The 12,967-nt window shown below is 36.6% G+C and overlaps 1 protein-coding gene across 2 annotated transcripts in view; it reads right to left on the bottom strand.

Annotated features, from left to right (window-relative positions):
* Positions 1-12,967, bottom strand: part of MDFIC (MyoD family inhibitor domain containing) — a 97,824-nt gene that overhangs the window by 28,261 nt on the left and 56,596 nt on the right. For both annotated transcript variants that reach the window (NM_001166345.3, NM_199072.5), the window contains exon 4: positions 11,876-12,151. In NM_001166345.3, the coding sequence (NP_001159817.1) occupies positions 11,876-12,151 (276 nt within the window). The remainder of the gene's footprint in view (positions 1-11,875; positions 12,152-12,967) is intronic.

Here is a 12,967-nt window from a genome sequence, read left to right as displayed (position 1 = left end):
ACCATGTGATCTTTGACAAACCTGACAAAAACAAGAAATGGGGAAAGGATTCCCTATTTAATACATGGTGCTGGGAAAACTGGCTAGCCACATGTAGAAAGCTGAAACTAGATTCCTTCCTTACACCTTATACAAAAATTAACTCAAGATGGATCAAAGACTCAAATGTCAGACCTAAAACCATAAAAACCCTAGAAGAAAACCTAGGAAATACCATTCAGGACATAGGCATGGGCAAGGACTTCATGTCTAAAACACCAAAAGCAATGGCAACAAAAGACAAAATTGACAAATGGGATCTAATTAAACTAAAGAGCTTCTGCACAGCAAAAGAAACTACCATCAGAGTGAACAGGCAACCTACAGAATTGGAGAAAATTTTTGCAATCTACTCATCTGACAAAGGACTAATATCCAGAATCTACAAAGAACCCAAACAAATTTACAAGAAAAAAACAAACAACCCCATCACAAAGTGGGCGAAGGAGATGAACAGACACTTCTCAAAACAAGACATTTATGCAGCCAACAGACACATGAAAAAATGCTCATCATCACTGGCCATCAGAGAAATGCAAATCAAAACCACAATGAGATACCATCTCACACCAGTTAGAATGGTGATCATTAAAAAGTCAGGAAACAACAGGTGCTAGAGAGGATGTGGAGAAATAGGAACACTTTTACACTGTTGGTGGGACTGTAAACTAGTTCAACCATTGTGGAAAACAGTGTGGCGATTCCTCAAGGATCTAGTACTAGAAATACCATTTGACCCAGCCATCCCATTACTGGGTATATACCCAAAGGATTATAAATCATGCTGCTATAAAGACACATGCACATGTATGTTTATTGGGGCACTATTCACAATAGCAAAGACTTGGAACCAACCCAAATGCCCATCAGTGACAGACTAGATTAAGAAAATGTGGCACATATACACCATGGAATACTATGCAGCCATAAAAAAGGATGAGTTCATGTCCTTTGTAGGGACATGGATGAATCTGGAAACCATCATTTTCAGCAAACTATTTCAAGGACAAAAAACCAAACACTGCATGTTCTCACTCATAGGTGGGAATTGAACAATGAGAACACTTGGACACAGGAAGGGAAACATCACACACTGGGGCCTGTCGTGGGGCAGGCAGAGGGGAGGGATAGCATTAGGAGATATACCTAATGTAAATGATGAGTTAATGGGTGCAGCACACCAACATGGCACATGTAGACATATGTAACAAACCTGCACGTTGTGCACATGTATCCTAGAACTTAAAGTATAAAGAAAAAAAAAAAAGAATAACACAGTGCTAACAGGATCTTGTTGTCTGTTTTTAAAACTTTGCGGGTGGAAATAACTCTTGTCAGATTCTCAAAGAAGCCCATGTGATCAAAAATGATCAGAATCACTGTGTAAAAGATTATCACAATTAATCAAAACTCCTTTTTATTATAGATTAAGCTTTAACCTTTTCAAGCCTTTGTGATAGTAATTCAATGATGAGTAGAGCATACTAAAGCATAAATTTACTTTAAATATATTTTAAAATTAACCTACTGTTTCCCATTTGTCTGCATTATGCAGTGGTTTCTTTACTTATATTTTCTTCTCTTTAGCTGTTTGCTTAGCTATGTTTGTTTTTACTTCTTATACTATACTATGTGTAAAAGCTATGATTAAATTCAATTAAGGGCCTTATGAACATAAAATATAAGATGCTATCGATTTTAATCAATTTGTGATCCAAAACACAAGTCAGAGACTTGGAACTCAGAATCCTAAGGCCCTATCAATCCCCTCCATTCAAACTCAATAAATGCTCATGGAATGACGTAGGAGTAGGGATTTGAGAAAGGCTTTTTAGTCACCAAAGGTTACGTGTCCTTGTACCAAATCATTCAATAGAGGTTACTGAGAAGTCTTCTAAAATTAGTCAACCACATAACCCTTACAGAGCAGAGCCATCGAGGTTAACAATTCGGTAAATACTTCTCTGGTTGCTCAATTCTCTTGCTTTGACAATGTCAATGCATTCATTTAGTTCAGTGTATTAAACTATAGATCTAAAGTCTAAATACACTATATGCTGGTTTGTCAAGAAGGTATCATTATTGCCTTCTCATATCTTCAAATGTTCCTTCTCTCCTGGATCTTTTCCAGCTGAATGTAAACATACTGAAATTGTTCCTATCTTAAAACAAAATAATACACACCAAGAAAACAACCCTTCTGGACTTGCACTTCTGCCCTGAATTTTGGCCTTTCTAGAACTGTTTACACATTCTACAACCCACATCACTGTGGCTTCTCCATGAAAACAACTCTTAATAAGGTCACTAAATGATGTCCATGTTGTCACAACCAACAGAAATATTTCAGTGCTCATTTTACTGAACCTGTCATCAATATCTGGTGCACCTTGATATAGTTCTCTTCCTCTTTTTAAAACATTCTTTCCCTGCCTCATGATATCATTATCTCCAGTCTGTCTCCCCCTCACATTTCTTGTTTCCTCTCAGCCAGATAATCGTCCTCTTTTCTTTGCACTGTGACCTCTCCTCTAGGCTATTTTATCAGTATGGCCTTACTCTGACTTACTGTCTATCTGATATTACCTCTGGAGAAAAATCTGAACTTTCCTTGGGATTGTCTCCCAAGCACACAAGCTGAACCCACACTCCCATCCCACCAAACTGGCTGGCCTCCAGTGATCGCTGAGTCACTCAGTTCTCAGCCATCTGACCTTTTCTCTGAAATCTCTACTTTAAAATCTCATCCAGATTTATAGTGAAGTGTCTCCTCTATGAGAACAAATATGAATAAGTATATTTGCCTCTAACTCCTTCTCTCCAGCTCCATTTGTATATTTCCAAATGCATTTTGGAATTCTCCTCTTGAATTACGTATAATCATACAAAACTGAACAGATCTAAAACTCAACTCATGATCATCTCCAAACTACATTCAGCTATTCCTCCTAATTTCCTAATTTCTACTCAATTTCCAAATTAATTGAACTAAAATGTTAATGACAGTCCTGCTCAGAATAATACATATCTGACTGCTCTTCCAAATCTACCCAGATTTAGCTCTGGACCTCATTTAATCCTGAAACTCTAAAGTAAATCTTCAATTCCTCTATTACCTGCACTTGACAGAGCTCTTGAGGTTGAATCCCTCACGAACAAACTTTCATCTCCAGCCTGGCTGCTGTGCCTACATATTATGTTTGACCTAAAAAAATCACCTAACATTTCATCACTGTACTAAAAAACAAAACAAAACAAAACTTTGGTGCATTAGTAGAGTCATAGGATTTATTCAATTCTTTCCATTATTCTGAAGCCTGGTTTCTAAATAGCCTCTGCATCCAACTACCCCACACCCTAAAGCTTCCTGGCCAATCTATCTGTATCTCCATTGTTTTATTTCCTCCTCACCCATCTCCTGAGTGAATGCTGAGCTAATTTAATTTGCTAAAGCAGTGACCTAAGATAGCTTGTCTACAAACACAAAAAAACAACGGTGAAGTCCATACATAGCTGATAGCTTCTATTTCTTCTTTAAGATGGCCTATAAATTATTGGTTATTACAAAAGAAGAGCTCTGAGGCTTGAGGCATATTTTGAGTTATCTCTATGTTTCAATATTAAGTTACATATTTTTCAGAACCTTGTAAAATAGTTTCTTTGCTCCTCACCAAATACATAGGTATGATAACAAACTACCTAGTTAACTTATTTTCCTAAACTTTAAGATAAGGCACTTAAATGTTTACTTTTGGCCCTACAGAAACACTTACTATTTATAAATACTTCTGATGGATAATTGCTTTATTTTTTAAAAAAAGACAGCTAATTTAAATATTTCAAGTAAACAAAAATTAATGATTTATATGTGCAGAATGATTTATACTTTGATATAGTCAACTCTGATCATGCCTACTCTCCATACACACACTCCTCATTGTATTACTATTTTTCAATTTAATGTGTTGGCTGAGCAGTGACATTTCTTGAAGTCCTATTTTCCAAAGAACTAGCAAATATTGCATTGGAAAGCAGAATTCTAAACCTTTCGCCCACACCATTATTGTAACATGGGATGGAAGGCACTGCGCCTGAGAAAACAGAACATAACAAAACAAAACATCATCCAAGCAAATTAAGTATTTTGAGGAATGCAGTGACATATCTTTCCAAAGTCACAGAAAATTTGTTTCTGGAAGCTCTGATTATAACTTTATGGTCATATCATGAGCTCCTATTATTATCTTTCCACTAAAATACTACTGTAGTACTTCTACAATTATAGGCAAAACGGAAAAGCTTTTTATGGGAAAAAATTAATGTAAGATTTTACAATACTGTTGAAACAGTATTGTAACAGCAAACAACTCAATTTCAATTTTACCTTTCTAATTTCTTTTCCCACCTTCAGGATTCAAGAATATGTAGTTGTTTGAAACCCATACGGAATAGTGAGAAAACTTGATGGGGCTGGGAAGTAGGATCTCTGAGTAACTGTCCTCCCTCTGCTGGGTCTCTTTTTGCATTTCTTTTAGCTCAAATATTTGCCCTTCCTTTTATTCCTTCACATTCTCTCCCTTAAGAATTTCAGCCATTCCTGCCCTTTCAACCACAATGTCTATGGAGTAATAAAGAACAAGTCTAGTTCTCCAGTTGACACTCCTAACTCACTTTTTTCTGAACTTGTATAAGCCAGGCACTAGGCTGTAGGCTAAACATTAAAAGATGAGTAAGACAGACTCTGCTTTCAGTGAGATTACATTTTAATACAGAAAGGTAGATTAACAGATCAATAGATTAATAGATTAATAGATCAACCAAGCCTGCTGTGGGAGACCCAAAAAAGGGGCAATTCGCCCAAAATGGGGCATCAGGAGATGATGACTAAGATGAGTTCTGAAAAAATGTGTAGAGATTAAGAATGCAAAGAGAGTTATGAGAACATACCAGGCTGAGGGGAGAGGAGAAACAAAGGCATTCAGCAGTGTTTCACCTGACCATGTGTACAGACATGTCTATGCATTACAGTGGAGGCAAAATTCCAGGTGCAAGGAGTTAGACCTGGAGTTTGCAGATGGTGAAAGGAAGGGGAAATAGTAAGGTCAAGGAAAGATATTTTTACCATTTTACCAGTGATTCACAAGGAAGGAGGGGAAATCACTTTATGGGCTTTTCTAATTGCCCTGCCCAATTCTGCTTAATCCCTTTTTAAAGCTGTGTGCCCTACCCAGATTGTCTCCTGGAGAATCTTGGCTGTACTCCTACTGGTGGGGAGTATGCATTATCCCTCTGGTATATTCTGAAAAACTCCTCAGTTATAAATGCAAGAGAAAATCACCAAAAAGACAAAGAAGCGAAGCCTAAAAAGAAAACAAAGAAAGGTCATAGACCTCAGAAACCAAAAAATAGTTTTAAAAAAAGAAAGCAGAAAAAGCCTGTACAATATAAACTGGGTTTCAGTCCTCCCATAGGTCCAAATGTCTCCTGTAGAGCTCATTAGCATCCCAAGCTCAACATGGCTAAAACCAATTCATCATTTCCTTTTCGATAACCGTTCATTATTAATGTACAAAAAAAAAAAAAAACTGCAAAGGTAATCACGGTGCAGATGGTAGGGCAGGTTAATACATAGCAGTATTGGCTACAGGTGAGAAAGCACCCTGATTCTATATAATTCCAACCATGGAATTTTTGTATTACAGAGAGAAAAGAAAACACAATTTTTCAAAAAAAGTATATATGGGATATGATGTCCTTTAGATAAATCATATAGACCTGTGTGATATTAATAGCTTCAGAAGAACGGGCCATCCCAGGCTCCGTAGACTGGTTCATTCCTACTCATCTAGTATCTTCTCTAATAATTTAGCTTTTCAACAACAGCAAACTGTTTGTAGTTCTCTGAATAAAACATATGAATTCATGAATTTACATAGAGGGGAGCAACACACACTGGGAACTTTCAGAGAGGGAGGTGGTGAGAGATGGGAGAGGATCAGAAAAAAATAACCAGTAGGCACTAGGCTTAATACCTGGGGGATGAAATAATCTGTACAACAAACCCCCATGACACATGTTTACTTATCTAACAAACCTTACTTATCAAACAAACAAAAAGAAGAGCACACACACACAGAGAGAGAGAGAGAAAAGAAAAAAGAAAAACAAAATCCTTTGGCCTTGAATGCCTCCCTCTATTCTCAACTCCCTAAACTATCTTTGTCTTGTCTTTCAGGTCCCCATCCAGGCATTGACTTTTCCAAGAAGCTAACATTCCTGACCCCTCTATGAACCTTAATACTAATGATCATAACAGCAGCTAACACATATCGAACACTTCATCTGAGCCAGTCTGTATTCTAAGCACTAAGCAGTACCAATTCAAGTCTTCTTCATAACAATCCTATGAAGTAGGTACTAATAATATCACCATTTTAGAGATGAGACGCTGATGCAAAAAGAGGCTAAGTAACCTGCCCAAAGACACATCACTGGTGAGTAGCAAAGCCAATATTTGATCCCAACCAGGCTAGTTTCAGAGTCTGTGCTCTAATTACTATACCACACTGCTTCTATGTGATTAAAAATAAAAATGAGATGATTGTAGTTACTTCCATCTACATAACGCTCTTCACTGTCTTGTTCAGCATTTATGTTCAATGATATACTAGGACTGGATATGTATTTCTCTATGCATACTAAATGCAGAATATCAAGTATGGGGTGTAAATTAATGCAAAAATTCCTAAAAAGTATAAAATTTCTTTAAAAGCATTTTGTTAGAACTTAATTTTTACAAAAATATATAGATGTAACTGGCACATGTAAAACATACTAAGATTTACCATTCCTATAAGAAAAGTGTCTTTGAGTCTAATGAAAACCCTTGGCAATTTGAACATTATATGATACTAAATTATACTATAATTATTTCAAAGGTCAAGAATCTTAAACATTTAGTCTTAAAACTCTCCACCTGGGTGATGCAATCAGAAAATTAAAGTATGTATGAAAATATTTAATTATACAAAACAAGTAGAAATCTACAAATTTAATAACCTTTAAATAAAATGTGCAATTTTTTTGCCACATGGTTTTTTTTTCCTCCATTGCAAAAATGGAACTTTTTAAAAGAACATTTTTTTTGGTGAATATGAGCACACATTTTATTTTCCAGGGCTGGTTTCAAGGAAGGGTAGGATAAAATGATTTGGAATAGAGCATTGTATCACGTGTTAACTCATGAGAAACTTTTTTATGTTGGGCACCACTGTACAATAAAAAAAAAATTGACTTAGATTCAGTCCAGCCTTTTCAGGAATTCACAGTCTAGTAGGAAAAGGAAAACAGAGAGCACAGGTGTGAGAGTTGTTTTTAAAACTGTGGTAAGAAGGGCTTTAAGAGGCAAATGTATACTAAGAAGAAGATCCCTGCTTGGCCCACAGCTGTAACACCATTAACATCCTATATCATGTTGAAATGTCTGATAAATTACCTTTTTTTCAGAAAACTTTAGTCACACAAAATAGCACAGAGGTTAGGAACATGGATTGTGGAACCAGAATGTCTGAGTTTGAGTCTCAATTTTACCATGCACCTGTTGCCTTTGGTTGCTTCCTTTAACTTCTCTGTGTCTCGGTTTCCTCATTTATAATTAGATAATTTCATATAATTCATAGAATTGCAGCGTTGTTGGGAGGACTAAATGAGTTCATGTGAGAGAAGCAAGTAGCACATAGAAGGCACTCTAATTATATGAATCAACATCGCTTAAAAAGTACCTGATGGGGATGCCGAGGTGGGCGGATCACCTGAGGTCAGGAGTTCAAGACCAGCCTGGCCAACGTGGTGAAACCCCATCTCTACTAAAAATACAAAAAAAATTAGCCAGGCGTGGTGGTGGGCGCCTGTAATTCCAGCTACTCAGGAGGCTGAGGCAGGCGAATCGCTTGAATTCGGGTGGCAGAGGTTGCATTGAGCCGAGATCGCACCATCGCACTCCAGCCTGGGCAACAGAGTGAGACACGACCTCAAAAAAAAAAAAAAAAAAAAAAGTACCTGATGAAGTGCAGGCTTCTTTGTTCTCAGTTCTTCAGACACTCACAGTTAAAGACATGTTAAAACATCTTGCCAACCCACAGACTCAATTATGGCTGGTTCAAACCCTACCTCTGTATAAGCAATGGATCATGTCTTAGCAGTGTTTTTGCTATCCTGGTTAGAAAAGACGCCCTTAGAGTTCTTAATCAAACACTAGAAAATTTGTAAATATTTTATTCCATTATCTGAACCAAAAAAAATGTTATTCCAGTTGTTGATAAAATTTATATGTGGCACAAAAATCACAACCACAAGCACCATGTACCCAGACATACAACACATTGTCAAAGTGGGCATGATTAGCTGCTTTGAGAATTTTAGTTAAGATTATTTTGCTACTTGTTTGCTCATTTGCCTTTGGAAGAACAGGCATAGAAGATGATGATTTAACAAAAATGTGAAGCAGAACAGTCATAAAACTGAGAAAAGCCTTGTACTATGGTTTGAATGTCACCTCTACAAAACTCAGATGTTGAAATGTCATGGACAATGTGATGATATTAAGAGGTAAGTCCTTCAAGAGGTGATTTGGCCATGAGGGCTTCTCCCTAATTAATGAGATTAAGGCCATTACAAAAGAGGCTTCATGCAGTTTTTGATCTCTTGCGCTTCTGCTTTCCGCCATGTGAGAACACACGCTCCTCCCTTTCCAAGGATGCAGCAACAAGGCATCATCTTAGAAGCAGAAAATGGTCATCTCCAGACAACCTAACCTGCCAGCACCTTGATCTTGCTCTTCCCAGCCTCCAGAACTGAGAGAAAATAAACTTCTGATCTTTATCAAATACCCAGTCTCAGGTGTTTTATTTATTTATTTATTTTAGAGACAGGGTCTCACTCTGTCACCCAGGCTGGAATATAGTGGCACAATCATAGCTCACTGTAACCTCAAACTCCTGGGCTCAGATGGTCCTCCCACCTCAGCCTCCTGAGTAGTTAAGACTACAGGTGCATGCCACTGTGCCCAGGTAGATTTTTTTTTTTCTTTTTTGTAGAGATGAGATCTTGCTATGTAGCCCAGGCTGGTCTTGAACTCCTGGTCTCAAGCGATCCTCCCCAGTGGCCCTCTCAAACTGCTGGGATTATAGATATGAGCCAACCTGACCAAACTTTAGTCTCAGGTATTTTGTTATAGCAGCACAAATAGACTAAGACACCTAGCCACTAAATCTCCCCATTCTTATTGCTTTATAAAAAAATCATTTCCATCCATTTTTATTTGCACAATAAATCATGCTGCCTATTCAAGGCCTACTGTTCTGACATATGGGCCTCCTGAAATTCAGGTGCTATTTCTGTTCACCACAACTGTTTCTGCCCCTGCCCCATTCTGCACATCAGGTTTTAGGTGTTTCCTCAACAAGAGATCACATATTCTATAGAGCAAGAGATCTATCCTGAGAGTCAAGCAGGTGCTGTAAAAAGAGACTCACAGAATCTTGGAACCGAACTTAATTTTTAAAATTATCTAATCCAAACCCTTCATTCCACAGAAAAAGCAGGCCCATAGAAACTCAAGTACCCCAGCAAGCTGGTGGCAGAATTGAGAATGTTTTTCCTTTTAATTTGCCATCTACCAGTTCAACGGATTTTTTGTTTTGTTTTGGTTTTGGTTTTTATTACAGTACATTGCCAGAGAATAAACATAACTTCAAAACTGAAAGTCAGAAGAAACACAAAATTTTAGGGCACAACCTTAAATACTAACAAATCATGAAGATATCGAACTTTGAGAAAAATATGGACAATCAAATTTTAATCTAGATTCAAGCAATCACAATAAAACAAACCTACAATTGTCTAAATTCTATAGTCTTACAATGAAGATATGGATAAGACTTTGCAAAATGTGTTTATACATTTAAATTTGTATTTTATGCTCCTCATGTCTCCAACCCAATCTGGAACATATTTTGTGATAAAAGCAGATTACACAGATTACAAGGGACTTCCCTTATCCAGAGCTCTGTGGTAGGCCATAAGTGTGAATGTGAGCATGAGAGAAGAGAAAGAAAAAGTAAAAGAGGGAGGGAAGGGGGAGAATAAAGGAGAAGGGAGAGAAAGAGGAAGAGTAAAACTGTATCTCATTCATATACCGGTGATTTTCTTCCTCCTTCGTATGTTACTTATGAAGCTGCATTCCTACATTACAAATAAATTCAGACATGGTATTAAAGGCAAGCAATAATAAAAAAATTTATAAACATTCCATAAGCTATTTCAAGTTAGGACTGATATGCGAATGTTACCATTCTTTAATACAAAAATAAGTAAATATCAAATGGAAAATAAGAGGTTAGGGACGTAATAAGTGAATTCAAATGTATAAAACAAGTACATTTCAATTGCATTCAATTATTTCACCCGATCACCTAGAAGCGAAGATCCTCTAAAGAAAATTGCATTGCTTTCCCAACTCCTTGGAGAGCCAGTTTAGTTAACAGCCTACCTATGCTTCAGAGATGACCATGCAGCTTACATGTCAAACTCATTTTAAAGTGTCAATCAAGTCCCTTTCAATCTAATTAGTTTGGAAAGTAGTGTCACTGACCTGGAACTATGCAGACCATTTATTATCATATCATTTGATCAACCTAACACTTTATCTCAGTTGAGTTTGAGACACCTGTAGCCAAAATGCAATATCCTTTCTCCCACTCATTACTGGTAATTCTCAATACAATTTCCTATTTACAACTCAATTTGTCTCTATGAATAAGCATGACCAACTTCACAGAGGCATTCCACAAAATTTCTCTTACTTAAGATTTCATAGCAAAATAGAAAGGAAAGGGGAATAAGGAGAAATATATGTATATCAGATACATATAACAGATTCAAGACTTTAGACATCCAATAACTGCTAAAAGGGGAAAGGAGGAAAACCAGAGAACCATGGATACATGGAAAGAAATTTGGATCCTTAAATATGGGAGATTTTTATTTTTGAAATATAATACAATGAATCATGTAAAGGGAGTCTGTTTTAATTGTCACCATGTGCAATTTGATTAATAAAGAACTTTCTCAGGTTCATAGTATTTAACCTGCTTTTAACCCAGCCAAGGGCAGGATGAGATAGAACTGAAGAGGTAATAACTAGTTCTCCAGGGGACAGAGAACACAGCCAAGTGTCTCTAAAGGAGGAGGTGAAGACCAGACCACAGTGAGGCTGAAATGGGATGGGAGTGGAGATGGTTGCAGGTGCTGGCCAACGTGGCGGCTGGAAGATGCTGGTCAGTCAAGCAACAGAAATCACCTGGCCTATTCCCTGGCAAGAGCATGAAAATTACCTAATCTTTCTCTCATTTTAGCTTTGTCTATTTAAGAACCGATTTGCAAGACAAAAATACAAGCAGGTAATCTTATCTCTGAACTATAGAATAACATATTGCATCAGGGAGGGATAAAAATACACACACACACTCATGTATGCCATCAAAATGTTGTATTTATATTTTTAAATGTGGCATTAAAAAAAGAAGTATAGCAGTTATATTTAAAGTAATGACTATTCACTCTAGAAGACGATTATCTAAAAGCAGGATGTCAGCTGCCACTGCTTCCTTTTCTATCTTGTGCTTTCCTTTGGGAAAGTTAATCTGCATTTTACCAAAATTCCTGTTTGTCTGAAGGATAAGCAAGATTCTTCAATTATATATGCTTGATCAAATAATTACCAGGAAATATTATTTTACATCTGGTCAAATAAAATCTACATATATCTCAAACTTACCTTCAGGTGAAGAGCCTGTCTTTTGGGAAAAGACAGCATTTACTTTGCTCTTCTTACTGATATCGCTGTTTACAGACAAGCTGGACTGAATTTTTCTATGCATTTTTTGAGAAACAGGTGCTGAAAGTTTGCGATTATCTGCGGATCCGTGTTTGGCCCCGTGGTGAATTCCATTTCCATTGCTCAGACCTGTGTGGCCGTTCTTTATCTTGCCTATTTCCTCACCACTTGGCACCTGGGCTGAAGTCTGAAGCTGAGGCAAGCGCTGAGGTTGGGCTAAATTAAAAACAGGAAAAAGTCAGCCAGTTAAAGAAAAAGAAATTAATATTTTAAAATAATGAAAATACATTCAGTAACAGAGATTTGGGGTTTTACCCATAATACTAACACTGAAGAGGCAACAAAGAAAAGAAAGAAAAATACTAACATAGACATAGAGAAAGTATAATTTACTAAAATGGAAAATGGGAACGGGGTCATCAAAAGTGGGTTTGTACAAGGATATAAAAAGTAGACCATAGAAATACTGTTTTGGGCGGTTTTAAAGAAAATTTAAGTTAGAAATCTGAAAAGGTAATTTAAGACTCATTCAGAGAATGTTGATTATTTTCTATATGCTGAGCCCTCTTTGTGCATAGACACAACAGTGTTATCTCAATACTACTACTAATAACAAACTACTCAATTGTCTTTTCAAATAAAAGGAAAGAAATGATAAGTTCTGGTATTCAAAGCCAGACAATACAAAGAAAAATACAGTGTTTTTAAAAAAAATCCCATTGTGAATCCTGCAGAAGAAAATCTTTTCTATATTTATTCTTTAATTTGATTTTTAAATAAACAAGTTATGAAAAATTAGGAATACAAGATAATTTCTTTAATAAAACATATCTACCAAAATTAAATGTCAGGACTTTAGAAGTATGTCAAATGCCCACCCTTACGTGACTTATGCAATATTGTGCAGGAGATCATAGTACAAGCAATAAACAAGACAAAGAAATTTAATAGGTCTGACTTCTAGACAGGAATGAACAAAATTTTTGAGATGTGCACAGATTTGGATGTTCTGGGGAACATTCAAATATATAG

The sequence above is a fragment of the Homo sapiens genome, chromosome 7, assembly GCF_000001405.40.
Source record: "Homo sapiens chromosome 7, GRCh38.p14 Primary Assembly".
Taxonomy (NCBI): domain Eukaryota; kingdom Metazoa; phylum Chordata; class Mammalia; order Primates; family Hominidae; genus Homo; species Homo sapiens.
Note: the sequence above shows the minus strand (reverse complement) of the source record. Positions and strands in the feature narration are given on the sequence as shown.